This window comes from Homo sapiens, chromosome 5, assembly GCF_000001405.40.
Source record: "Homo sapiens chromosome 5, GRCh38.p14 Primary Assembly".
In the NCBI taxonomy this organism is placed as follows: domain Eukaryota; kingdom Metazoa; phylum Chordata; class Mammalia; order Primates; family Hominidae; genus Homo; species Homo sapiens.
In genome coordinates, this window is record NC_000005.10 from 111,933,153 (window position 1) to 111,957,703 (window position 24,551).

The 24,551-nt window shown below is 37.7% G+C and overlaps 1 protein-coding gene and 1 long non-coding RNA gene across 3 annotated transcripts in view; one reads left to right on the forward strand and one right to left on the reverse strand.

Moving 5' to 3' along the window:
* NREP (neuronal regeneration related protein) overlaps positions 1-24,551 on the reverse strand; it is a 248,131-nt gene that overhangs the window by 204,351 nt on the left and 19,229 nt on the right. The gene's annotated exons all lie outside the window — the stretch shown is intronic.
* Positions 1-24,551, forward strand: part of NREP-AS1 (NREP antisense RNA 1) — a 104,799-nt gene that overhangs the window by 20,645 nt on the left and 59,603 nt on the right. The window contains exon 2 of the long non-coding RNA NR_046678.1: positions 6,885-6,982. This is a non-coding gene — a long non-coding RNA (NREP antisense RNA 1). The remainder of the gene's footprint in view (positions 1-6,884; positions 6,983-24,551) is intronic.

The window sequence follows — 24,551 nt, forward strand, 5'->3', positions numbered from 1 at the left end:
GGGAACAAATGTATGCAATTGGATATATAAGGAACCCCAATTTCTCTCTCCATGCCTATGGTTCTCTGTCTTTGATTCCTGCTGTTTTCACTTTGTCTGCCACCCGGGAAAGGAGGCTGCTTTTATAACTGTGGTTCAAATGAGGACACAGATTATTTTCCTTAGTCAGTATCCTTAGTAGGAAGGAGACATGCTGTCATTTAGGTATTTGTTATCTTAAAAGGGATCTCCAAAAGAAAATAAATGGAATTATGGAATAATTTTTCAGTGGTCAAATTTTAGAAGATGGGATTCTAATACTATAACAATTGCACCTTGGCCCTAGTGGCAGGTAAATCTGTTTGGACTCCTTTTTGGCTTATTAGCTCATTGCCCATACCCCTTTATTGAGAGACAGAGGAAGTATTGCCATCCAAGCCAAGGACAGAATGACTACATTTCTTCTCACTCAGACCCATCACTCCCCAAACTTTCAAATTCCAGTTTTTCCCTGATATGAGGGATTTCTTGTCTACAGCTTTCCCAATTTCCCATATCCAATTCATCAGCAAGTCTGAGAAGGGTATCACTGAGTCCCAGAATTTCTATGAACGAAAGAATACCTGAAGAATTCTTTTTGCTCTACTTGAAAGAAAGTCTATACTGTAGACTGCATTTATAAAGAGAACCCACAGCTACTAACCCAGAAGCTAGGGAGGACTTAGATAGTCGCAGAAACCAGAAAGGGTCTGTAACCAAAATGCAGGTTCAGTTGCTCACCACTTGCAGAATTCAGCTAAAAAGAGCGAGGTTTGGTATAAAGAAGGTGACTTTATTCCAAAGCTTAGTTTAGGGGAAGAAGTACAGCCTCCTTCCTTTAAAGTACCATTTTCCTTTTGGGGACAGAAAGCAGAGGCTTTTAAAGGGGGACTTTGCACAAATAGTATGCAGAGGAGGGAATGAGCAGGTGCAGGGTCTACGTGGCTTGCTTTGGTGTCTTATCTACCAGATGGTTGAGCTGCCACCATCATGGGCAGACCTAGGTTGTAAGGTGAATGTTGTCTCAAGATACTCTCCAGGTGAGAGAGAGTTCCATTGCGGGCATACGTTGGGTTATAAATTGACTGTTGTCTCTTGGGGCAAGCTCCTGTTAGGAGAGATTTCTGACTCTTATGCTTCTAAGTAAGCATATAGTTGGATAGTTAGATAAGCTTACCATATAGGGAGTATCTGGTGAAGGGAAGGTAAAGGTTATAATTGCATTTCTAAAGAGCTAAGTAGGAAGTGGAAAATAGGGGAAGAGGAGGAAAGAGAAAAGAACATGAAAAGATAGTAATTAAAATAACTCATTTTCTTTCTCTTAGAAAAATGGGGATACTCAGTTACAGGTACACTGAGTGAAGCCACATAGGACCAGAAAAGAAAAATAGACTAGGCTCACTGAGTCTATTTGCTCCCTGGAGTTAAACATGAGCTGCTCAGAGAATTCTCCTTGACTCTCAGGAGGAATGTATGGCCGCAGTTCCATGTGGGGAATCAGCCTACATTACTTGCTGTCTTAAGCAATGAGTTGCTCAATACCCATTATCTGAGGCCCAACACAGGATTATCCCAGTGGGAAGCTCTGCTAACACAGGTGGCTGAGCAGCCTGGCGGCAACAAGCCTGTCCTGGAAATATGGAGAACCTCCTGGGAGAAGAGGCAGCAACCTCCAGGTGAGGGAGGCAATAATTCCAGCCAGACTTACCTACACAAATTTGGAGAGCCCACAGAGCCAGATGCTGCTTTGCCTATGGGAGCTACTGTCATGGAAGAACACATTCTGGATCCAGATCCGAAACATAGTAGGGTGGGTGGGGCAAGTGGGTAGAAGGGGTGTGGAAGGGCCATCAGGGAAAGAAATAGTACTTTTGTAGGATTAAAAGCTTTTAGTAACTATTTTTCTAGATAAGAAATGTAGATATACAGTACTTTTGAAAACTGGTAATTTCCCTCCAATATTTCCCCACTGTCTCCTTTGATACATTGCACTCAGAGCAGCCAAGCTGTGCTCATGATCACATGGGAGGGAGGTGACAATGGAAAGCAGATAAATGAACTATTGCAGCCAATTGATGAGCACAGAGAGAGGCTGTTTACTGAATGTAGGCAGATAGGACCTTACACAATATCCCAGAGATCAACTTACCCCAGCACGGCTTGGACTTAGCAGAGAGGACCAATGGACCTGAAGGGCCAGGCACAAAGAAACAGGAAATCTAAGCTTTGAACAACAGAGACCAAGGACTGAGGACTAGAGGGGAGGATGTACCCCTGCAGGGAGGCATGCTACAGAACACAGAACAAATGAAGTCTTACTCCTTTCTACACTGTGGCACTTACTACACAGGTACTTTGAAATTTAGCTATAACTCCAGGGAGAAGGCAGAGATAAAGGCAGCTTGATCAAGTTTCCACTTTTCCAATAAGAATAAAATAAAAATTAAGTTTGAATATAGACAAAAATAAGGGCATAACTGGTTTGGGATAAGATTATCCCTGCAACAATCACATTAAAATAGAGTAAAATTGTAACGTCCACTCCTCTTTCAGAAATGTAAAATGCACATCTTAGAATAGAGGAATACCATCCCCTTTCTATCATTTTAATGGTATGCCCCAGGCTTTAGTACCACACCTTGATAGGAGGCTGTACTAGTTTTCTAGGGCTGCCATCACAAAGGACTACAAACCAAGTGGCTTTAAACAATAGAAATTTATTCTCCCATAGTTTTAGAGGCCAGAAGTCCAAAACTGAGGTGTTAACAGGGCCATGCTCTCTCTGAAGGCTCTAGGAGGGAATGCTTCCTTGCCTCTTCCTAGCTTCTTATGGTTGCTGGGATCCTCGGTGCCCCATGGCTTGTAGATGAGTCACTCTAATCTCTGCCTTTGTCTTCCCATGGTGTTCTCCCCTGTGTCTTTGTTTCTGTGTGGTTTTTTCCTCTTCTTATAAAGACATCAATCCTATCCGATTAAGGGCATGATATGGTTCGGCTCTGTGTTGCCACCCAAATCTCTTCTGGAATGGTAATTCCCATAATTTTGTGTTGAGGGAGAGACCTGGTGGGAGGTGGCTGGATTATGGGGGCAGTTTCCCCCATGCTGTTCTCATGATAGTGAGTTCTCACAAGATCTGATGGTTTTATAAGTGTGTGACAGTTCCTCCTTCACACACTCTCTCTTTCCTGCTGCTATGTAAGACGTGCCTTGCTTCCCCTTCACCTTTCACCATAATCGTCAGTTTCCTGAGACCTATCCAGCCATGTGGAATTATGAGTCAATTAAACCTCTTTTGTTTATAAATTACCCAGTCTCAGGTAGTTTCTTAATAGTAGTGTAAAAATGGACTAATACAGGGCCCATCCTATCCCAGTATGACCTCATCTTAAATATTTATATCTGCAACAATCCTATTTCCAGATAAATTCACATTCTGAGATTCTGAGGACATGTATTTTAGTGTAACAGTATTCAACCCTGTACAAAGGCTGTCGCTACTCTCCCACACAGTTGTCCCAAATGCATGACTACAATCTCCTTGATTCCCTACAGAGAGAACAGAAACCAAATGGAAACTTGACAATTTCTTTTTACTAAAGGTGCACAGAAAAGTAATCGTAACACAGCAAAGAAAATGAGTTAGAACTGTACTAATAATGCCTACTTTCTGAGTGGGCAGCTCTAGGCCATCTAGGTGTTTGTCTAACACAAGGTGCTATTTTCATGCGCAAGAACCGAATTATTCTCACTCATGGAAGTGTTTTTGACTCTGTGTCCTTGGACAGTGGGCTCTCCTAAGGCCCCCAGAGAAGCATTTCTCCTTCACTACGGTCCAGCATCTGTCTCCCTGACTTCATTTCCTGCCCTGGGATTAATTTCTTTACAATTGACAATAGGAATGGCCACTCCCTTCAGGAGAACAGCACCTTTCACCTTCAGAGGAGAGGGATCTTACCTAACAAATAATTCACAACATAATCAGAGAAGAGCTTAACAGTTAAACTTCAGTACATTCTGAGGTTTTCAGTTTTAAATGATGCCAAAAGCAAAAACTGGACTTTACTGAGAAAGTGTAGCAGATAAGTGTAACACCCTAGAGTCCAGGGGTCATAACTGTCTTTCTCACTGGAATAACTTCCAAGATTAGCAGAATCCTGCACGTAGTATTCAAGCATGATTCACTAAATGGACAAATCAAACTTGAATTGTTCAAGACTTTTGAATGCTTTTTAATGGTCTCTTTCCAAGTATGAAGTAAAGATTATTCCCGTTGTATTTTTCAAATACTAATTTTCTATATACAGCTCTCAACACTTACCTCCTCTCTTCCCTGAACTTGCAGCTATCTAACTGCATACAGAGAAAAGGAGCATTAACATCCTCCCTTCTGATAGTGCAACAAAGTTTGAAGAGACACAATCCTGGTTAAAGTATAAAACAACCATGTCAATTACAAAATAGAACCTTCAGGTAGAAAGGACCCATCTATTTTCCCCAAAGGAAAAATCTGCCCCAAGTCCCCAACTCCTTTGAACTCCTTTAAAGGGTACTTTTCCAGGCTTCTCTACTTCTCATTCTTGTACCAGATCCTTCCCTCTTCCTGTCCCACCAGGTAACTCAGCATTTGAGTGGGCAGCAGCCTGTCACCCACATAATCTCACAGGGTACTGGACCCAACAGTCCATGACTCCAATTTACCTGGTCACCTGATTCAAAGTTAGGTTGGCCAAAGCTGACCTCCAACTTATGCCTGCTCTTGACTTCTTAGTCCTCTCCAAATTCTCCTTGTGCTGACGTTTGCACCCATTTCTGCCTGCTCTGTCTTGCTCTTGTAATCTAACCTCAGTGTCTGCCTCTCTGCCTTGACTCCATTCTGGCTCAGCTTTCCCTCAGGGTTTCCTCTGGCCCTGTGTCCATCCAGTCCTTCTAAGATTACCAGTGACTCCAGCTTTGGTCTATGAGTTCTCATAGTAACACACTCTTCCTGGCCATGCTCACCCAGGGCACTGGACTTCTGCCCCCTGCTGCACTCCTCTCTGGGAGCTCCATTCCCTCACTCATAGTTTGTTTCTGTTATACAAAGGCTGATTCTTACTTTCCTTTTCCAGTTATCCTATCTATTTAATAAAGTCATCAGATGGATCACCAAATTACTGAACACAATTTAGATAAACATTTTATAAGCCAAAACTACCCAGATTTATTGTCAACAATTGCATCCTATTTTTATTTTATTTCATGATAAGAGTATGCTCCTCAATTTAAAATCAATCTTTGCATCCAGGCAAGTGAAACTTAAACTAAAATTTCAAGATTCATTTTCTCCTTGAGAAAAATCAGTATGGTGTAATGGCTGATGGTATCAGAGTATGGACTCTGTAGGCAGATGACATGGCCTAGTTTGCATTTCAGATCGGTCACTTACTGTATGTGTGACCTCTAGAACAAGTTACCGAACCTATGCCGGGGATAATATCATGTTGGGGATAATATCATTTCCAACCTCAAAGGCCTATTGTAAACTTTAAATGCCTTCGTACGTGTAAAGTACTGGGAACAGAACTTAGGGCATAAAAAGCTGGTGAATACTAGCTACCATTATTGTTCTTGATCAACAGCTTAGTATACTGCAGTCAGCAGCTCAGAGATCACCCATGAACTCTAACAACACTCTCAAAACCTTTTGACAAGCAATTAAGATAGATAATGACTACTTTGTAACAAACATAAAGTAGTTTTCTTACTGGATGAAAAGAATGTAACCCTGCCATTATGGCTTGTAGTAGCTGGAAAAGCAACCTGGATCAGTCCATCGATTACTGGAGAGACTCTGATCTTACTTAGTATCTTACTCATAATCTATCTAGGATAGACTCACAGATAGATTTTTTGTTGCTGTTAATCATGCCTAGAAATTACCGTCCCCCTTGCTCTTGGTCTTCCTTCCTTTTTCTACCCTCTCCCTACGACTACTTTTATTCCTGACAAACAGTCCATGGAGCCTCACATCTTCCAGCATGGAACACCTCCTAGCAAATGAACCACATTCCTTTACAAGACTCATTACTTCTCACAGCAAACATCTGATGCAAAAAGTAGGCTCAAGGGGCAGAGATTCTGATCCTGTCTCCTCTGGAATGATGGAGTAGGAAAAATACAAGGAGCTATCATTTCTGGCAGAGCCAGGACATCATAACCAAAGCATCAATTTCCCTTTTAAAGATACTTTAGAGCAATCAGCATTTTTTCCCAGACATTACAGTCTGGGAAATCCTCATTATTTGTGGATTCCATATTTGGGAAGTTGCCTACTCACTTAAATTTATTTGTAACCCTGAAATCAGTATTTGCAGCATGTCTGTGATCATTAGTGGTCATTAGCACAGTGTGGCAAAAAAAAATTCGAGTTGCCGCACGTGCAAGTGCACAGCTGAGGTCAAACAAGGCAATATTCTACCTCTTTGTTTCAGCTCTTACCGTAAACAAGTGTCCTTTTCATGATCTATTTAGTACCACGTTATTTGAATTTTTGTGCTTTTTGTTGGTGATTTTGCTGTTTAAAATGGTCCCCAAGTGTAATACAGAAACTCTATCTAGTGTTCCTGAGCACAAGAGGGCTGCTATGTGCCTTATGGAGAAAATGGATAAGCTTCATCCATGCTGTTGGCCATGAGTCCAAAGTTAATGAATCAATGATACATATTAAATACGTTATCTTTAAAAAGAAACACATATAAGACAAGGTTATGTTTTGATCAGCTGACAAAAATACTGTTATCACAGGCTTATAGGAATCTGACTCTTTATTTCCTGTGGGAGTAATCATTCAATGTTCAATTAACTTGGCGTTCATGGAAACTTTACAGATTTACAGTGAAGAAGAAGAATCAAGTGTACATCCCAATCTGAATTACTGCATTCAAAGAAAAATTACCACTGCTAGCCACTCTACAAGAATAGCACAGTAAGTTGTCAAAACAAAACTATTCCTTCAATTTACTCCTTACATAAAGGGAAACACTGTGATAGCCTTTTGTGATAAATAAAGATGCCTAATATACCTTACCTGAAAAAAGACTACGAAATACCAAAAACAAAATATAGTTTAAGGATAGGGATAAAAGATAAAACAAAAACAGTTCTTGAAATACTGTTCCCTCTCTTTTCTACCTACTGATTATCAAAGTACAGTTCAGAAGACAACCAGGAAGTTGTTGCCTTCTCTCTGCTACTCCAAACTACAGCAGACATGAAGTCGTACTGGCAAGGAGATCAAAGTGTCTGTCTGTCTGCCATGTTCCAGGTCCACAGAAAGAGAATTCAGTAGACACATATCTCCCATCCCTTCCAACTGGCAAAAACGTTGGAGAGAAGAGCTAAAGTAGGCATGCCTTTCTCTACCACACACCACTCATCACCCAACTACTCTGTCCTAGTGGAGGGGAGTCACAATTATAGGGATGGGCCCCGACTCTGAAGACAGAGAAGAGAGGCAGGTGACCTCATGCAAACATTAGGAGTACCCAGGTCCACCCTCACTTCTGAAACCTAATGCAAGTTTGGAGTTGCCCAAGGCCACTCTCACTTCTGGTACTCACTGCAAGTTTGAGGGTCCCTGAGACCACACTCATGCCCCAAAATTCACTAGAAGGACTCAGAGGACACAATAAAACCATTATACTTTTGGTTATAGTACAGTGAAAGGATACAGATTAAAAATCAGCCAAAGGGAGAGGCACATAGGGCAAGGTCGAGATTTCTGGGTATGGATATGTCATATAATGTCTTCAATAAGTCTTCAGTAAAATCCACAAAGTACATTTATGTTTTATAAAACACATTTCTTTTTTGGGGTAGGGAGCAAACCCTGATTCTTGCTTTAAGGTTGTTGCTGGGAGAAACCACAGAATAACTATGGGATCCCAGAAATCTCTGGGTTACCAAGAAATAAATGGACATCAAACTTTTCTTTCACAAAGGAATTGTAAATAGGCATTCAATTGCAAAGGAAGAAACTGATGAAGATCATATGGGAAGTTATTAATCAGTCATTTTTCTGGTTATTTAATTATCTTGTTATAATCTAGAGTATAAAACCTGGGTGAAAGCCCAACATCACACCTTTTTGTTTTAGTTTGCTCAAGCTGCCATTACAAAGTACCACAGACTGAGTGGCTTACACAACAGAAATTTATTTCTTATAGTTCTGGAGGCTACAATTCCAAGATCAAGGTGTCAGCAGAATTGATTTCTTCTGAGGCCTCTCTCATTGGCTTGTAGATGGCTGTCTTCTCCACATCTTCACATGGTCTTTCCTCTGTACCTGTTTGTGTCCTCCTCTGCGCACTGTAAACAGTGTGCAGTAAACTGCACTGTAACAGGCTCTGTAAACAGCCTGTCTCCAAATAGAGTCACATTCTGAAGTATTAGGGGGTTAGGATTTTAACATATAAATTTTGGGGATGACATAGTTCTGCTCCTAACACTTTTACATTTGATGAATGCAAGCCTATTATTAATATTAGCATTTCAGACAGGACATCTAGGAATGGGATTGATAATAAAAGCTTCAATGTTTCTGGACCAGAGCATGCCATATCTGTTTTAAAACCAATTGAGAGGCTGACCTAACATAATCCCACCAAAGGAATGTAAATCTACATTCTGTTATCCTCTAAATAGATTCTAGCTTATTTACAACTATGTCTTCCTTCCTAGACATGTCTATGTGTTATATCACCACAATAATATACTCACTACTTCTTAGCCTGCATTTTTAACACCGTGTGTGGACTCTGAATTAGATTTTTGGTAAATTCAGTACAACATTTTGTAGGATAGCAGAACTAATTTTTGTTTTGTTTTGCTTTTGTGGTAAGAGTACTTGTCTCAAAGATCGATTCCATGAGACATCATTTTATTACCATAAAAACAGTTATATTAACTTAGCTTCACAAAAGTTATTTTCTTATGGTAACCATCTTAGCAAACATTGTTAGCCAGGATTTAATTGCTATTTGTTAATAAAATTTCAATCCTGATGCTTACCATAAAATGTTTATATTTTTTAATATTTTTATTTCGAATGACACCAAATAACACTAAAATAAAAATGATTCATATTCTGAATTTTCTCACTTAAAAAAATCTCATGAGAGTCGCCTTTCCATCTGAAAAGTGAAAGTCATGGTCACATGTGATGCAGTCATTGCTTTGGTTCCCTGGTGCGGCTTAAAAACAGTCCCTAAAATAGGCGCTTTTGCTCTTCCTGGTGTCTTGCCTGCATCATACTAACTACATCTGCAACATTGCAGGTGTCTTTTTTTCATTGCAAAGCAGTTTGTGCTATCAAATAGCAGCAAGTGTGACTCAAGACTGAAAATCAGGGACAGGGTACAAAATAATTGCAAAGAAATCTGAAATGATATAGAAGTTGATATTCTTCTTTAAAGACTTCTAAAGCACTAGTTTTAAAAAAAAACAGCATCAGATAATGATACTAAAAAACCCTTGAAAATAGAGTTTTATACTCCAGATTTGGTCAAAATATTTTACTGTCATCACCCATATAATTAAGAGGCTGTACATAAAAGAGATTAAGAACATGGACTCAAAAGTCAGAATGCCTGAGGTCAAATCCTGTATTCATCTCATAGTAGTAGTCAACACTAGGCAAGTTACTGGAACTGTCCATTTCTCAGTTTCCTTGACTGTAAAATGTGACTAAGTCTAGTAATTATATTGTAAGGCTGTTTTGAAACTGAATCAGTTAAAGCACTAAGAACAGCATCTGGCACTAGGCAGCACTCAATAAATGGGGTTAAAAGTATTATCCTCTCCCCTTTCTCCCCTTTGATCTCCTATACATATGTGGCTCCCATCTCATCACTGCTGTCTCCTGTAGTCCTCTTTCCTTTTTTCCATTTTCAGCTTTCTAGGCAGCTATGACAACTGGCTCCTCTTTTGCATCTCCACTCTGTCCTCTGGCAAGTTCAATATTATATGAATAAAGCTGCCTGCTATTAGTCATTTCCATATTAATAATAGCTAACATTTTTGAGCATTCATCAGGTGCCGGTTATGCTGCCTATTGTGAAACACATTGAACTCCCTATACATCTTCTTGCCTGAACTCTCATAGGCACATACTGCCTTGATTTTCCTTGCCTTCTCTGTCTTGCTCTTAAATGCTGGGCTTCCTTGGCATTCCTTCCCCAGCCCTTTCTCATTCTATACACATTTCCCTGGGTGGTGAAGAGTCCATGTCATCAATTACAAACCAAATGATTACTCTTAAACCTATATCTCTAGCTTGAACTTCTACCCTGAGCTCCAGAACTTTGTATTATAGATGGGCACTGAAATCTCAACTTCGATGTCCCACTGCACTGCGAAGCCAGTGCAGACAAATCTGAATTCATTTTCATGCTGAAGCTATGCCTCTTTTTACATTTCTGTCTGAGGAAATACCCCTACCTCAATGGGTTAAATGCTGGATTTGCAGTGGTAAACAGCAAAAGCATAGGCTCTGCCCTCATGGAGCTTAGAGGGCATCCTCTTTCTAACTGGAGGATATAGTAGAGGAAACAAATAAATAAGCCATACTTAATTTTCTGTTTTGTGAATTGTTTCTTTGGATTTTTCCGATTAGCTCTTTATAAAACTGACAAACTCCTGGTCATATTTTGCTGCATATACTCTGTTCAGCAACTTACGTTTTTTGCATTCAAGAAAATTGTGATTTTTATGTGATCAACTCTAATGAGCTTTCCTTTTATGAGGTTTTCTATCGCTTCAAAGCTTAGAAATGTTTCTTCTATTGAGAGAGCTGATGAATATTCAAATTTGTACCCTAGTTTAATTTGTTTATGTTTCATTCTATCCCACCTAGAATTTGTTTTGATGAGATATCAGTGAAGTTTTATTTATGAAAATTTCCAAAAGTCTTCTTAGTATATTGGATGAGGGATGCCTACATGACATTCTCTTTTATTGCTGTAACATTTGAGACCACCAATTTTTGTTTTGAAATTTAAATCTTCCTTGGTTTATCAGTACAATTGTTAGGTTTCTTCCTACTTTTCGAACTTTGACACTTCTCTCCTGTACCTATTTTCTCATTCCTCTTTGTTCTTCCTCCATTTTTTTCTTTTTTGAGACAAGGTCTTGCTCTGTCACCCAAGTTAGAGTGCAGTGGTACAATCTTGGCTTACTGCAGCCTCAACCTCCTGGGCTCAGGCAATCCCTCCACCTAAGACTCCCAGGCAGCTGGGACCATAGGCATGTACCACCATGCCTGAATAATTTTTGTATTTTTTGTAGAGATGACGTCTTGCCATGTTGCCCAAGGTGGTCTTGAACTCCTGAGCTCAAGCAGTCCACAGCCTTGGGCTCCCAAAGTGCTGGGATTACAGGCATGGGCCATGACAACCAGCCTTCTTCTCTTTCCAATTTTATTTGTTTCCCACAGCTAAATTCTTGAATATCTGTTCTTAACTTGATTGGTTCTCTCTTGACTCAATTCTGGCCCACAGTATCAAAGATCACTTTGATTAGGATGACTTCAAGATTGGTATTTTCAGCAATGATGTCTGAGTTCCAAACCTGCTTCTTTGAGCCCCTGCTCAGACTCAGCAAGAACACAAATTAACCTAACCTACAGTCCCCTGCAGACTTCAGTTAGTTCATCCCCATCCTCATTTCTCTATTGATAATAAATTTTTGTTCCATCTGTGTTTTAGTCATAGGTGCTTAAAACCTCAGAATCATCTTCACCTCTCCTTTATCCCTAATATTTGATTAGTTAACAATTTCTACCTATGCTTCCCTTAAAGACTATTATTATTTGCACCTGTCCCTACATCTCTACTTCTAACAGATTAACATTCTAAGGTAACAATTCTTCCTTGAAGGTTTGGACAACACCCTAACCCCTCTTCACGCACTCACTTCATTCTTCATAGTTTATTACACATTTGTTATCATCCTAACTCTTATCATGCTATTTCCAAAATTTAAAAAATTAGGGTATAAATGATAAAGTCTAATGCTTTTATCCTAGTTTTCAAGGCTCCATATGAGTTGATCCTATTTGCTATAGTTTCTTATAAAGAACTTTTTTTTTATTATACTTTAAGTTTTAGGGTACATGTGCACAACGTGCAGGTTTGTTACATATGTATACATGTGCCATGTTGGTGTGCTGCACCCATTAACTCGTCATTTAACATTAGGTATATCTCCTAATGCTATCCCTCACCCCTCCCCCCACCCCACAACAGGCCCTGGTAGAACTTTTAAAGTAACAGGAGAAAGGAAGAGAAGAAAGGATAAAAAGGAAAAAGAAGAAAAAGGAAAAAGAAGAAAAAATGAAAAAGGAAAGAAGAAACAGAAGAAAAGAGGAAAGTCAGAAAGAATACAAGGGTTTGTTTTGTTGAAAGTGACATACTGTAATCTCAAAATAAATTAACCACAAAAATGAAATTGTTGACACAGAGAACTAGGAATGTAAGAACTGAATCTGGCTTTAGGATAGTTGGATCCAGGGTCTTACATGATATCATTAGGACACTATGTCTCTATTTCACAGCCCTTCACAGCCCTGTTTTTCCTCAGGATCTGCTTCATTCTCAATCAGAACGTTTGCAAAAAAAGAGGGAAGGTGATCACCAATTTAGCAAGCTCATTTAGACAGCATCAGCAAGTTTCTTACATTTACTGTAGATTGGCTCACCTTGGATCTTGTGCCCAACCCTAACCAATCACTGTAACCAAGGACAAGTTGTATATACAGTAAGCAGACCCAGGACACATTGCCATTCCCAAAGCTAAGGAGCATGTGAGCCCTACCTGACACAAATGGACTAAGAGTGGAAAAGAGGAGACTCTCCAAAGAGATTTTGATCACACACACACACACACACACACACACATAAGAAAATAAATTTGAACGAGCTAGTGAGCAGGATAATCTAATAATATAGAGTTGCCAATTCTGCTAATCATCCATTGGTGAGATTTTGTCAAGTTAATTCAATTTTATTTTTGCTTTAGTTTCTTTCTAAAAAAAAAAAAATGGGCATAGAATTTATGCCACCAGCTGCTCCCAAAAAACAAGATCCTCAAATGAACCTTAACAAAGTACTGCCAACATCACAAATGGCAAATGTTTGAAGTGTGGGCCCTACACTGAAGTTCTTCACAATGTTAATCTATACATGTATGAAGATTTTCATTTTAAAGCCTTTCATGTTAAATATTGTTTGATCTGAATAACAAAACCAGAAAATACAAAGTTTTTCATTTTATATATGATGCATTTGTTTTTCAGGCCACAGTAAAAGATAATCCCCTGAAAACTCCTTCTCATTTGTCACATGGGATTGGTCATTTCCTCCCCTCCTATTCTTATTCTTTCTAGTAAAGTCACATGTAAAGAAAGCCCAGGGACGTCCCTCAGTACAGCCTCTATCAGGGCCTCTTTTTAAGAGGCTGACACCCGTGTAGAGGGCATTGAATTTCCTCTTTACTTTTCTTTCCCAACAAAAAATAAATTCCTTTTGGCCCCAGGCCCACCACTACCTAAGCCTTCTAATTTGGGCAGAATTAGGCCAATCAGGAACCCTGCTAGGAGAAGATCAGGTCTATAATGTTACTGTTACAAGAGCAGCCACATCTTCCTCCAAAATTATCTCTGCTTCTTCCAGTTTTGTAGTCAACCAATTAGGAAACCAAAACCAACCAACCAAGAAAATATAATAATTCCTATAAATAATAAAAATAAGAATATACTAGTCTCCTCACAACTATTCCAATGTTTTTCTACAGCATAATTTAGTTAATGAGTTTTAACTCTCCTAGGACAATGGCTATTTGTAAGATTCCAAATCACAGTTTATACTTTTCACGTTCTTAACAAAAATAACTTTGACATTTTAAAAGGTATAAATTCAAAGAAATAATGTATAACTATAGAAGTCCCTATTTTTGTATCCACTCCTCCACAATATCTCATAGTTGTCTGTACACAGTAGCTACTTAAAAACGCTTTCTTAAGTAAAACATTGTCTTAGGAGATCCTACATACTAAACTTGCTAGAGAAAAAACCTTTTTGATTCAGATTTTATTAATTCAGATTCAATGTTCTTTCAATTAAGAACTGAACTAAATTATCTATCTTAGTACTATTAATAAGAAATATGACATAATAAATAATGGGTAATATTCAATTGTATTATATAAAGAGGGAGGGTATTTATTGACTTTGAAAAAGAGTTCATGTTTTTACATTTATATATAAATTGTATTATGCAATTATAATAGATACCATTTTTTGAGAGCTTATTGGAAGTGCAAGGAATTATGCTAATGCTAACTGCCTTAAATTTTATTAAATTATCACAACAAACCTATGAGGTAATGTAATCTGTTCTTTACAGACACAAAAACTAAATTAGAAAGAGAAATCATCCACGTGGTATCTATAGAGGTTCGAATACCTATAAATATTAGCCTATTAATTAATACTATACTCTTCCTCCTTCTAAGAGGTGAGTGCTCTTCAGAATGGCACATGAATGCAGTGATTTTAAATTCTTGTTGTACATAAAGTAGGACATCTTCGCAAGCAATATTTGATAGCATATTTTAGTTATCTTGTACATTAGAAAGTAATTAAACATATTCCTCCTTGATCTTACAAATGTCTTCCTCTGAGTTACTGAGACTCCTAGACTTCTCTGCCCCATTTACTACCAGTTAGCAAGTTCACACGCTATATTCTACACCTGTAAACCTCACTCACATTTCTCATAATTTCTAATCCAATCGTTGCTGCCACCTCAGTTTCCAAGAACCATATTAAATTATTTGAATATCTGTATTTGTTAGAAAATCCATTTGTTAGTCCCAATTTTTGAATAATAAAAAGAAATTGCTGTTGAAAGAGGTAGGAAACTAATCTTCCTGATAAATCCAGACATATTTAATTTCCCACAAAAGCCTCATTCTAGTAATTTCATCTTTCCTGTAATGCTATTTCCCTGGTGGAAAGATCAGGTCAACGTGTTCCACATTTTTGGACAGTTTTGTATTTTGGATCAGAAATGTATGGCAGCGAACAGCTGTGGAGAAAATAGACTGCAGTGTGCTGGATAAATGCTAGCCAAGTCTCACTGAAATGAATTCCCACTATTTTAGAAAAACAACCATGCAAACTATATGCCTCATGTCTTCATTGTAACTCAACTCTGGCCTATGCCATACATATAAGAGAAACACTTTGGCAGTATTTGGTTCTATATCAACTATCTACAGGCTAGAATCTATCCTGAATATTTCAATTCTATTGAGTTCAAAAATCATGTGTCTTATGTACCCAGTAGAGACAAAAACAAGAGCCCCTCCCTGACAACTGTGCCTAACGGCCATGCAAAAGTGAGTTGGTTGTCCAAGACATGCCTTTATGGAAAAAATTTCGAAACACCAGAACAAATCCAACACTTCTCTCTCCTGCCCTATCAGTCTGTCACCTTTCTCAAGCATAGAACAGCTCACTGTAAGTAGATGAAATGTTCCCAGCTGTGTCTGACTCATATCATGACTATGAGTCTTTCCAGTGTGGGAAAAATATGAACTTAATCAATTCCCCATGTATAAGGCATTTCCAATTTTTTCTCATCCTCTCTAGAGAACAAGAAAGTCACCTAACTTGAAGACTTGGTGACCAAAACTCATCCAGCAAAGATAAATAACAAAGAACAATATTGCTGATTAATCTCTTCCTAGGATGTACAAAGAGAAAACACAAGGAAAAACAATGAAACCATGGAACCTGAGCAAGAAAACTAAAGTCATAGTAAAGTAACTAAAGACAAATAAAGGAAAAAACAAAATGAAATTCTGGAAACCCTTTCTTTCTTTGTTTCCTCAACCAGCAATTTCCCATAGCAATCTATTCCAATCACAAATAATAATCCTGCTGGCCAACCAAGGCAATTAAAGCATATTTATTGTCCACCACAAATGCTGTCATGTTAAATATGCTATAAAATGGGCTGAAAACATGGAACATGTGGGCCACACCATTGAATGAGACAAAGAGTTGAGGTGATTGCAGCTTGCATCAACAGTGGGTCAAAAACTGCAGTCTAGTGCACAGGAAAAGACATTCAAAATTAAAAGCCCTAGGGATTTTTTTTTTTAAGTAAACAACAAAATTTTATTTGGAAAATTCCTTTCCTTACACATAATGAAATCCCATCAAATGATTTTATTTATTTTATTTGTTTGTTGTTCAATGATGTTTATGCTTTTTTTAAATATATTACTTTAAGTTCTGGGATACATGTGTAGAACATGCAGGTTTGTTACATAGGTATACATGTGCCATGGTGGTTTGCTGCACCCATCAACCTGTCATCTAGGTTGCCCTGGTGTGTGATGTTCCCCTCCCTGTGTCCATGTGTTCTCATTGTCCAGCTCCTACTTATGAGTGAGAACATGTGGTGTTTCGTTTTCTGTTTCTGTGTTAGTTTGCTGAAAATGATGGGTTCCAGCTTCATCCATGTCCCTGCAAAGGACATGAACTCATTCTTTTTTATGGCGGCATAGTATTCCATGGTGTATATGTGCCACATTTTCTTAATCCAGTCTATCATTGATGGGCATTTGGGTTGGTTCCCAGTCTTTGCTATTCTAAATAGTGCTGAAATAAACATACATGTGCACGTGTCTTTATGGTAGAATGATTTATAATCGTTTGGGTGTATACCCAGTAATGGGACTGCTGGGTCAAATGGTTATTTCTGGTTCTAGATCCTTGAGGAATTGCCATACTGTCTTCCACAATGGTTGAACTAATTTACACTCCCACCAACAGTGTAAAAGAGCTCCTTTTCGTCCACAGCCTTGCCAGCATCTGTTGTTTCCTGACTTTTTAATAATCACCATTCTAACTGGTGTGAGATGGTGGGTGTCTCACTGTGGTTTTGATTTGCATTTCTCTAATGACCAGTGACAGATATATAGACCAATGGAACAGAACTGAGACCTAAGAAATAACACCATACCATACGCCTACAACCATCTGATCTTCAACAAATCTGACAGAAACAAGCAATGGGGAAAGGATTCCCTATTTAATAAATGGTGCTGGGAAAACTAGCTAGCCATATACAGAAAACTGAAACTGGACCCCTTCCTTAAACCTTATACAAAAATTAACTCAAAATGGATTAAAGACTTAAATGTGAAACCCAAAACCTTAAAAACCCTGGGAGAAAACCTAGGCAATACCATTCAGGACATATGCATGGGCGAAGCCTTCATGACTAAAACACCAAAAGCAATGGCAACAAAGGCCAAAATTGACAAATGGGATTTAATCAAAGTAAAGAGCTTCTGCACGCAAAAGAAACTATCATCAGAGTGAACAGGCAACCTACAGAATGGGAGAAAAGTTTTGTAAGCTGCTCATCTGACAAAGGTCTAATATCCAGTATCTCCAGGGACTTAAACAAATTTACAAGAAAAAAAAAAAAAACCAGACAAGCTCATCAAAAAGTGGGCAAAGGATATGAACAGACACTTCTCAAAAGAAGACATTTCTGTGGCCAAAAAACACATGAAAAAAAGCTCATCATCACCCTAGGGACTTTTAAATCATAAAACATTTGAGACACAAAAAGGTCTAGGAAATAGTATGAGTACTGCTTTACTCACCATTTGTGCATCCTCCATGAGCTTAAGAAATAAAACCTTCAAAGTGCAATTGACGTCTCCTATTTGCCCTTCCCTGAGAGCACTATCCTTACTCTCTGCCATAGGTTAACACTATCCTGAATTTGGTGTTTGTCTTTCCCACAGATGTCTTTATACTTTTATTACATATGAATATCTCTGAAGACAATGTATATAATTGTTTCATATATTCTAAAACTTTAAATAAATTGTATCATGCTGTATGCATCCTTCTTGCTTTTTTACTTAACACTGTGTTTGCCACATTTATTTATAGTGCTATGGAGGGCTTCTGTTTACTCATTTATTATGCTATAGCACTGCACTGCACATATACATAACATCTCATTTATTCATTCTTCTAGTGGACACCTAGGTTTCTACTTTTTTCTATTACCAGCAATGTTGTTATGAACATTCTTATATATTTCTATTTATGTAGATGATTTAGTATTTTTTTTACAGCAGGGGTAAACGAACAATGCCTGTAGCCTAAATATGGCCCACCATCGGTTTTTGTAAATAAAGTTTTATTAGAACATAGCGGTGGTCATAGTGCTGATGGCTACTTTCATACTACTGTGGCAGAGTTGAGCAGTTATGACAGAGAATGTATAGCCCACAAAACTGAAAATATTTATTATTTGATCTTTTGCAGAAAAAGTTTGTCAACTTCTACTTTAGGGTATAAACTTAGCAGTCACATAGATGGGTTGAAGGCTCTATGAGTATTCAATTTTACCAAATGTTTCTAAATATTCTCTAAAGTAATGTACCAATTTTCATTCCCCTCAATAATATAAAAATATATTCATTCTCCTTGTTCCTCATGCTCACCAGCACTTAAAATCTCAAAAGTTTTAAAATCGTGTCCATTTATTTGTGGTTTCATTTTAAATATCCTAGAGTTGTTATAATGGTTTATATCCATGTTTGCGAGGTATGCCATATGTTTTCGGGTAATACTAGAAATAATAGAGCAATCATATAACTGTACCAAGATGAGGCTAAGGCACAAAAGTGGATACCTCCCCATTTGATTTCACTTAGAGCTCCTCTTTTCCAAACCCTATATCCTATTCTCTTTCCTGACACTCCTGTCCCAGGCAACTATCACTCAGAATCTCTGTCTGTATCATGTGGACAAAGTTCTTCTACAGTGCTTAATTTGCTGCCTGCAATATACGGCCTTCTACTCCTTCCCTTTCCCGACGAATCATACAACTAAGTGTTTTCCCAGAAGCCTTTGTCAAGTGGAGAAAAGAAATGAGAGGAAAGAAGCCCTGTCTTTTTCAACATGGGACACCTGGTCTCCACATTGCATCACCTAAGAGCCGTCTCTACCATCTACACCTAAGGCCAGCCAGTTAGGCAAGAATGAGAATACAGTCAAAGAAATAAGGATTCATCTGTGCCTTTGGATGCTCCCAGGGTGATGTTCCCTGTCAAGGTACATCTGGGATTATCTGGTTTTCATCATGCTCTTTGATGGAAAGAAATCTGCTTTTTATTTCTTCTTTATCTTGTGTTGGAATAGCAAGTGTTGATTGACCAGTCGAGGTTATTATTATTTATTTATTTGGTTATGGTAAGAGCAGTCCTCTTCCTTGTGGATATTTCTACAACTTTGACAAGTAAATGAGGCAAGGACGTAGCTGGAGATAGCAATAGGACAAGAAGTGAAGAAAGAATCTCCTGTGTGGCAGTTATTGGAACATACCCAGAGCATTGAAATCGCAGTTTATGCCTCTGTTTTACAGTAAAGGCTGTTGATCTAAGGAAATTTAAGGCATGGGGAACAGGATGAAAAAGAAGAGGGGGAAGTTGGTTGGATTGTATCAATGTCAATCTCTTGATTGTTATTGTCCTGTAGTTATGCAAGATGTTACCATTGGGGAAAGTATGTGAAGAATATATGGAATCTCTCTGTATTATAGCTTACAAAACAGATATATAAAAAATTAGAGAGTAGGAATGGGAATGTGAAAGGGAGGACTCTTCACTTTTTACTTGATACCTTGCTTGTACTGTTTTTACCACATGCATGCATTATTTGCATCATGAAGACATGAGTCCCTGCCTCATGTCCTCTAAGTCTTATCACATGTACCTGTCAAATTATGATAGTCTAACCTATACTTTGCTGCAGCTGAAATTACGCTTTTTATGATTAGATATCTTACTAAGTAGCCCTCTTCTTCAACTTTCTCTCATGTTGTTATTGTCTTCCTTCAGAATTATTTTCTTTCTTTTTTCTTTCAACCAATTTCCTTCAACCAATGCATCACCTTGCAGGGTGAATGATTTAGGAAGGCATAGGCTCAAAGCCCTGTCAAGCACAAACTTCTCAGATGGGCAGTGCACAAGCTGGTGCTGTGTGGCCATTGCAGCAAACATGGCAGTGGGCATGGGATATCTTGGGGCTGATTCAACAAGTTTCCTTTTGAACACTCTATGCCTGGGTTTAGAACCCTCTGAGGCTATAACTTTTTTTCCCAAAGACTTTTCTTCTGCATCACTGGCAACCTCCTCCTCTATTATCTTTCTTTTTTCTATGAGATTAGTCATCACCAAAAACTTCTTTCCAACTTTATCTGAACATTCTTTCATTCTTCAGGCATCATGAGTTCGTGCACTATTTACCGCAGGCCAACTCTGTAAGTTTAAGTAGTGAGAATACAAAAAATTTTAAAAAGACATGGTCCCTGCCCTCAAAAACCTCAGACACTTAGGTTACATTATGGAATGGAAAGAACGAGGATAGGAACCAAGTGTCCAGGAAGAATAGAACAGGGAACAATGAATTCTGCTTGGGAAAGAGGAGGAAAATTTCTTAGAAAGTGATATTTAAGTTGCATATTGACAAATAACAGTGAAAGGGGAGAAGAATCATCTCGGTTGAAGGACCAGTGTAGACAAAGAAAGGCACAACAATATGGAAATATGTAATATATTTAGGGAAGTGTATTGAAATAATTACCCCTGGGGATGATACATCCCAGTCTCACATCCTCAAAGTATCACCATGTGTACCTGAGGGAGTATCAGCATGTTTAACATGGGTTAGGGCCAGAGAGTAAGGTATATGCCTGCTAAGGAATTGTAACTTTATGTTCTAGGGCTCTGCAAATCTAACTTGAGGTAAAGTGAATTGACATTTAGCTTTCAGCCAAGCACATGATTAAGTCTCTCATGATCTATCTATATCTATATCTACATCTATCTATGGCCAAGATGGAAAAATATAGGCTCTGCAGTGGCATATTGGATGTCATGTGATCATCTTCAGATATTAGAAGAACTGTCAGGTGAAAGAGGGATTTTATATTTTATGCCCATATCCAGAGGAAAAGCTGGAATCAATAAATTAAAATTACAGGGAAGCAGATTACTTCTTTGGGTTAGAAAAAAAAGAGAAATTTCTAGGCAATGGCTAATAATTATGTTAATAGGAAAAGGAAATGCTTCACTGCACACATGTTCTTGGTTTGGCAGAGGTTGTCAATGTTATCATTGGTTTTACTAGTGATATGTTTTGGTTTGATTTTTCTGAGCTCCAAAAATTGTTAAAGAGTGGTACTTTTTTAGAACTCCAAATAGATGCATTTTGATACCATTGAAGTAACTTGCATTAACAAATTATAACTTCTCTCTACTTCAAAGTGCCCACTGTTAGATTGGAAAATAACATTTTCTCCTAAGCTCAAAAAATATTGATGTCAAAGGGGAAAAGAAATAAAGAGATAAAGAAGGGTAGGGAACAGAGATACAAAGCAGGAAGTAATAAATATGTAAAATAGAGAGTGACAGGTTCCCTTCATGCTACAGTGAGGACAGTGACTTAAAAGCAAAAACTATTACCATCAAGAAATGAAGAATGTAACTTCATTGAGAAGTCAACATTAAACAGTTTATTAAAAGTCTTTCTTTAAAAACAAAAATTTCCAAGCTGCTCTTTCAATGAAGATCAGCCTGAAAGGCATAAAACCCTTGTTGCACATGACTCATTGCTGGCTGCCAAGGAAGAATGCTAAAAAGAGCAGGATGGGAGTTTGTTAAATTAATAACTAAGAACAAACTAATTTTCCAATGAAGATGCATGAGGAAGAAGGCTAACTGAATTTTCTAGTGGGCCTGGTTGTTTGTTTTCACTAGAAAGAAGAACGTGTCTCCATTCGTTGATATTCTCTTCTACTATCAGACTTAAGCTATGCCTGCCTGACACAGAAACAGAAAGCAGAAGAATAAGTAAAAGGTTATGGTGAGAGCCAGCTCTCAGAGTTTCCTTCTCTCAGCCAGCATTTGTTGAGTACCATCTCAATACCTGGGATTATCACAGTATGTATGTATTCAAAGAGAAATATTATTCTTATGTGCCACCTCATCCTACAAAAAATGAGAAATTTTATAAAAATTCACACAATGCAGAAGTATAAAATTAATAGTTGAGTGAGTCAGCGAAAGAATCACATAAATGCAGGCCATCCAGGACCTTGTATCTATAGGTGTTAGATGTGAACAACAAATTTGGCCATAAACTACACAGGGGGCCAATACAGAAAAAAAAAAAACAAAAAACAAAAAACAAAAAAAAAAAACACATTCGGTTCTAAGACTTGTGATAAGAAAAACAACTTTTCCTTATACAGAGACCTGTAAGCAATTTCTTTCTGAGTCTGTGTAAGGGGAACTTCGTGGAGATTTTCAAGTCAAGATGACATTAAATACCGATTGAAATACTCGCTTCCACTCAAATAACTAGAAATACTAAGTAAAATGTGTTAAATTACACTTGTCTTTATGTACACAGCTTGAAAGAAAAGAATAATGAGAAATATCCAGGTGCCAGAAATGTCACGATTTTGAGCTAAAGTCTAGCAACCCACGGTGTAAGAGGCAGAGCATGGGAGTAGACAGAGCCAAAAGGTTTGGAGTTTCAACACTAACATAAGGGATGAGAGTTGGAACTAAAAATCTCATTCCTGTAGTGAAAAAAAAAAAAACAAAAACGTTGGGCTTCCTGTTTAAGAACAGGACCTGGAAAGCAAATCATTCACCTAACCCCTGATTGGATATAGTTTCCCATGTAATTCCAAAATTTATTCTGTCATATGATTTGGAGGGCTTGTTACCCTCTCTAAATCCAAAAAATCCAGAGCCGAAACACAAACCTAAGAAGTTGCCAAGGAACAGTGAGAGCCTCTACAGATTGGGTAGATACCACCATGATATCCTCAAAGGGAAACCTCTACAACCCAGGACAGACACAAGGGAGCTCAGAGACAGGAGAATTCTTCAGGAAAATGGGCTCACAGACAAGAATTGCAGAACATATGAGAATGTCTGCAGCAAGAAAATAAACAACAGACATAACTCACACCAACAGAAATAACAAAACAATAAGGGGATTTTAAAAGGTGTATATTTAAAGTCTTCAAAGACATGAAAAAATACTTTTTATGAAACCGACAGAGTTGTGAAATAGTATATTGATATTAAAAAGCTCAAAGAATTAAATACTAGATTAAAGCAATTGAAAAAATTAGTAAATTTGAAGAGACCTAAAAAAAATTTCCAAAATGAAAGACAAATTAGATTTTTTTTTAAATCAAGTGACATGAAGAATATAAACTTTAAAAAATTCTAAATAAAAATCATAAATATCTAAAAGGAATTACAGAAAGAGTAAAAACAATATTTTTTAAAAAGCTAGTGGTTGACAGTTATCCAGAAGTAAAGATGTGGGTCTTCATATTTAAAATGCCAATTAAGGCTGAGCGTGGTGGTTCATGCCTATAATCCCAGCACTTTGGGAGGTGGAGGCAGGTAGATCACTGGAGGCCATGAGTTTGAGATCAGCCTGGCCAATGTGGCGAAAACCCATCTCTACTAAAAATACAAAAGTTAGCCAGGCGTGGTGGTGTATGCCTGTAATCCCAGCTACTTGGGAGGCTGAGGCATGAGAACTGCTTGAACCTGGGAGATGGAGGTTGCAGTGAGCAGAGATTGCACCACTGCACTCCAGCCTGGATGACACAATGAGACCATGTCTCTAAATAAATAAATAAATAAATAAATAAATAAATAAAATGCCAGTTAAGTACAATGACATACAGTAGAGTGATATTTCAGAATATTAAAGTTATAGAGAAATATTACAATTGTCCAGAGAGGAAAGAAGAGACTGTTACTAATAAATAACAATTGCGAGGGAGGGAGGAGGCAAGGAGAGAAAGAAAAAGAAAGAAAGAGCAAAAGAGAGAGAGAGAGAAAATACACAAATTAAATATATCAGGAATTTAAAATGGTAATTAACATCAGTTATAATTGTGATTTGATAAAATAATAATCTTGGGCTATTTAATGGCAATAAATTTTTAAATTTGATAAAATGGGAAATTTTCTGGAAAATGTTAAATTTCATATACCTACCTATAAAATATTTTAAAAATCTCAATGGAGAGTCAATAAATATTAAACAAATTGAGCTAGTAGTTTTAAAAACCACCCCTCCCCAAAGACTCATAACCATATAGTTTTATAAAACTTAAAGGCACAAATAATACCTATCTTATATGAACTAGAAGGCATAGATAACCCCTATTTTATAACAACTCTTCCAAATAATAAAAAAGAAAATGTGTTATCTATGATATTAATATAATATTTACACCAAACCAAGATAGAGTACAAGAAAAGGATTTATAATCCATTTTCACTTATGAACATGAATGCAAAATTTTTAACTAAAATATGAGCTAAGCAAGTCCAACTTCATGTGTGTGTATATATA